This window comes from Homo sapiens, chromosome 8, assembly GCF_000001405.40.
Source record: "Homo sapiens chromosome 8, GRCh38.p14 Primary Assembly".
Lineage (NCBI taxonomy): Eukaryota > Metazoa > Chordata > Mammalia > Primates > Hominidae > Homo > Homo sapiens.
The window spans coordinates 106,806,097-106,810,285 of record NC_000008.11 but is presented as its reverse complement, the minus strand read 5'-3'; the positions used below and the strand labels follow the sequence as shown (position 1 = coordinate 106,810,285).

The window sequence follows — 4,189 nt, the reverse complement described above, 5'->3', positions numbered from 1 at the left end:
TAGCCAGGCGCGGTGGCGGGCGCCTGTAATCCCAGCTACTCAGGAGGCTGAGGCAGGAGAATGGCGTGAACCCGGGAGACGGAGCTTGCAGTGAGCCGAGATCACGCCACTGCACTCTAGCCTGGGTGGCAGAGCGAGACTCCGTCTCAAAAAAAAAAAAAAAAAGAAAAGAAAAAGAAAATACTTTATTTTAGATGTGATTATGGTATTTTATATATATATATATTTTAAAACAGATTTATCTTTTAGAAAGATGGGCTGAAATATTTATCAAAAGAATGATATGCTCTCTAGGGTTTATTTCAATAGAATCTGACAATAGAGAGAGGGTGGGTATGTAGGTAGATGAGTCAAGTTTGGCCATTAGCTTATGAGTCTGGGTGATGGGGACTCGGGGTAAATAGAATGTAGTATGCTATACTCCCTACTTTTGCTACATTTGTAACTTTGCCCAATATAGAGTTTTAAAGGATATAATTAGTAAATATATAAGCTCTTCAAAAGCTTTAAAATATCTGAAATCTTTTAAAACACTTTAATAAATACCATTTCACCTCATGAATAAAAGAACAAAGCCTTCATAGTACATGTTGTATTCAACAAATCAAAGATTGATTTTGGAACACCTGCTACTGTGGATTGTAGGTAAGTGAAAATTTAGGCTCAGAAAATTAAAATTAGATCACATACAAAGAAGCTAAAATTAGTAAAGAGATCTTAAATATTATATATTCTTTCTTGGCAACAATACTATTGGGTTTACTTGTACATGATCAGTATTGAACAACAACAAAAAAGTTTACATATTTTCTGAAAAGTTTTGAGTCTAGTTCTGCCTAAGGACAGAGATACAGTTCCAAGTAACCTAGGATCTCTCAATTGAGTTTCTGTGTAAATGAGACATAATATGAACTCTCTCAGAGACATTCTTTCTGTTCTATTGAGGGCCTGTTTCATCCAAAAAAAAAAAAAAAAAAAAAAAAGCAGACAGAAGTTTCACTATAGAAACCCAAGGGACTGGAGATGCCCAGTTTTAAAACAATGGTGTAGACAGATGTGGCAAAATTCAAGCGGCTCCTAACCCTATAGTTTGAGCTTTCTCTCAAATGTAAGAGAAAAGAGACTACTCCAGCGAGCTGATCATTTCATTCTAACTTAGAATTTAGGTGTGTGTCACAATCCAAATTCTTAGAGCTCTGTTTGTAAAAACTCTGGTAAAGTTTTCATGTCACACTTCAACTGCCACTGAGGAACTGTATCAGGGGACAGATAGAAATTGACCACTTGGGCCAGTGCCCGGCCACTTTCAGGTAGGAGCGGAGTTTAACAATGAAATATTGAGTACTTGCTGGGTGCTAAGCACTTCGCCAGCATTATCACGTGAAAATCTTTCAACACCCTTTATTACTGTCTTCCCAATTTACAAATAAGGAAACTAAGGCACAGAGAGATTCAGAAAGTCACCTGAGATCATACAGCTGAAATCATGGGGTCAATTGAGATCATGGAGAAGCCTGGATTTAAAAGATATGAATAACCCTAGAATATATATTCTTCACCAGCACACAAGCCCATTGTATTAAATATAACAGAGGTATATGAAATATATCAGAGACCATGTTCTCTCTGGCATTGACCGAGTAAGTATTAATACATATCTTTTTGTTGATTCATCAGGCAAGTCATGGGCTGTGTCCTTTCTCCCTCGCTGCAATTAACCTCTAGTGCTGTGAAATTCCTTTTCATGCAGAAGCTCACAGAGCTCCAACCTGGGGTATGGCAAAGAGCCACTCATACATCCAAAAGTAGCCACTTATTTTACACACACACACACACACACACACACACACACCCCCCACACTGATTTCGGTGACTTGAAAGAGACGAAGATCAAAGAATCCCTAAAAATGATTGCTGAGTCAAAAATATCTTCTGATTAGAATTCAGAAGAGAGCCCAATCTAAGGCAGAGTTGACTTCTTAACTTGCCAAAGAGTTTATTTCCTACTCTGGGAGAAAAAAAAATCTGGGCCTGCAAGTATGTGGGCAAGAAGGCTACATATGACTTGAGAAGAAACTAGGAAAGGAGTAATTCATTCAAATAGAGTCTTTCTCAGGAGTAAGAAGAAAGGCTGATCTTTTCTCTGCAAGTGGACTTTAAGTGGATCTGGTTACAAGGTCCTTGTTAACCCTAAAGGACAAGTTACTTGGCAGAAAGGCCGAATGCAATCCTCACTTTTGAGAGATGTAAATGTTTACCTCCCTAATACCACTTGAACAGCAATCTTGTGGCAGGCAATATCCTCCATGCAAAGATTTACCATAGTACCCAGCACAGTATAGTTGTTAATTAAACGACAGCTTCTCCATGACATAACATTTGTGCCACCTGACAAGAAGCATTTGAAAGTAAATAAGGTATCTTATTTCCTGGTTTTTGATACTTATTTGGGTTGACTATACTCAGTTCATAAATTCTTTTTTTTTTTAGGGGCGGGGGGGCATTATATTATGTGTTTCAAGAAGACCTATTAGGTTTAGCGTTCTGTTGTACTTTGTGTTGAGATTTTTCATGAAGGATGGTGGCCAATTTCTTTTATAATGCTTGACCATAAGACATTCTTAGGTGTGGTAAATTCCTTCTTTAATTAAATTCTGAAATAGACAAATTATCGCCCAGACTCATGCTCTCCTTAAAAGACATCCCATAGTAATTAGATAAATGGCACAAAATAATATCTAATTGCATTTAAGAAAACAAACATTTACATGATTTTTTTCTTAAAGCAGAATCATGGTTATTCCTAGAATGTCACTCTCACTGGCTTATATTTTATTAAATTCCAGATTTTACTTGATTTTAAATGACAAAATTTTTTGCAAGATGGCTTAAACAAAAAAGGGAATTTATTGACTAACAAACTGAAGAGTCTCAGGAGACTACCACCTTCAGATACAGTTTGGTCAAGGTGCTAAACCAATGTTATCGGGAATCTGACTCCATCTTTTGGCTTTGCTTTCCTTTATGTTGATTTGATTTTTATATAGGCTTTCTCTGTGAACTGGCAAAACAGAGTACCCATTATTTAGCAACACCCACAGTAAGAAAATCTCCCCTTCCCGGTAATTCCAGCAAAACTCAGGGACTGAGTCTCAGTGTATCAATAGAATCACGTGTTCATTCCTGCCTCCAAGGGGGATAAGAGATGCTAATTTCTTAATCCAGTGGGAGGGAAAGAACTAGGTAGGTGGTGGGTTTTCAGTCCCATTCAACTACATAAGTAAGGAGTAAGATGATTTCCTAAAGAAAAATTGAGATTCTATTTCCAGAAAAAAAGAAAAATAAGAGACAGACAAAACCAACAGTAGTTAACTCCATACCGTAGGGTGGAGTTTTAGCAAAAGCATTTGTGAAATGCATGTACAAGCGAAGCCTATCTTTTTTTTTTTTTTCTGACTTTCACGATAGCAGCAGCTTTATAAGTTACAGTGGTATTTGTGGGTTATAATTTCATAATTCCTTTGAACTTGTTTTCTCATTTTATTAATAGATAAGCTTTGAACAAGGAAGAAAGGGAAAATGCAGAAAGAGTAAGTAGTATATCCACATCTACATTGACTCTGATGCACTTATGCAAACTTTGCTTCAACTTAACATCCACATTGTTTAAATTGCCCTCTATCGTGTGTGAAAGCAGATAGAAGTTTGACAGCTGCTTTGAAACCTCTGGAGATTAAACCTTAGGGTACCCCAACTCTGCCATAAGGTAAGCCTCCAGCCCACTAAAGATTTTTCTGGACCCTTAGTTTACAGTGTTTTGGAGTATCCTGTATCTTTTTTCTTAGATTTTCAACATACATTAGCACATTATGTAGAAATTGCCATAGATGTGACGGATATCTACTGAATGTAATTTGCATAAAGATTCATGCATTGGCCGGGCGCGGTGGCTCATGCCTGTAATCCCAGCACTTTGGGAGGCCGAGGTGGGCAGATCACCTGAGGTCAGGAGTTCGAGACCAGCCTGGCCAACATGGTGAAATCCCATCTCTACTAAAAATACAAAAATTAGCTGGGCATGGTGGCAGGCACCTGTAATCCCAGCTACTCAGGAGGCTGAGGCAGAAGAATTGCTTGAACAAGGGAGGCAGAGGTTGCAGTGAGCCGAGATCACGCCACTGCACTCCAG

General features: G+C 38.1%; 1 long non-coding RNA gene across 1 annotated transcript; it reads left to right on the top strand.

Annotated features, from left to right (window-relative positions):
- The first annotated feature begins 1,211 nt into the window (after positions 1–1,211).
- On the top strand, positions 1,212–3,761 carry LOC124902004 (uncharacterized). Its single transcript, XR_007061062.1, has 3 exons — positions 1,212–1,310; positions 3,551–3,590; positions 3,698–3,761. It is a non-coding gene; the product is annotated as an uncharacterized LOC124902004 (long non-coding RNA).
- Positions 3,762–4,189: the final 428 nt, after the last annotated feature.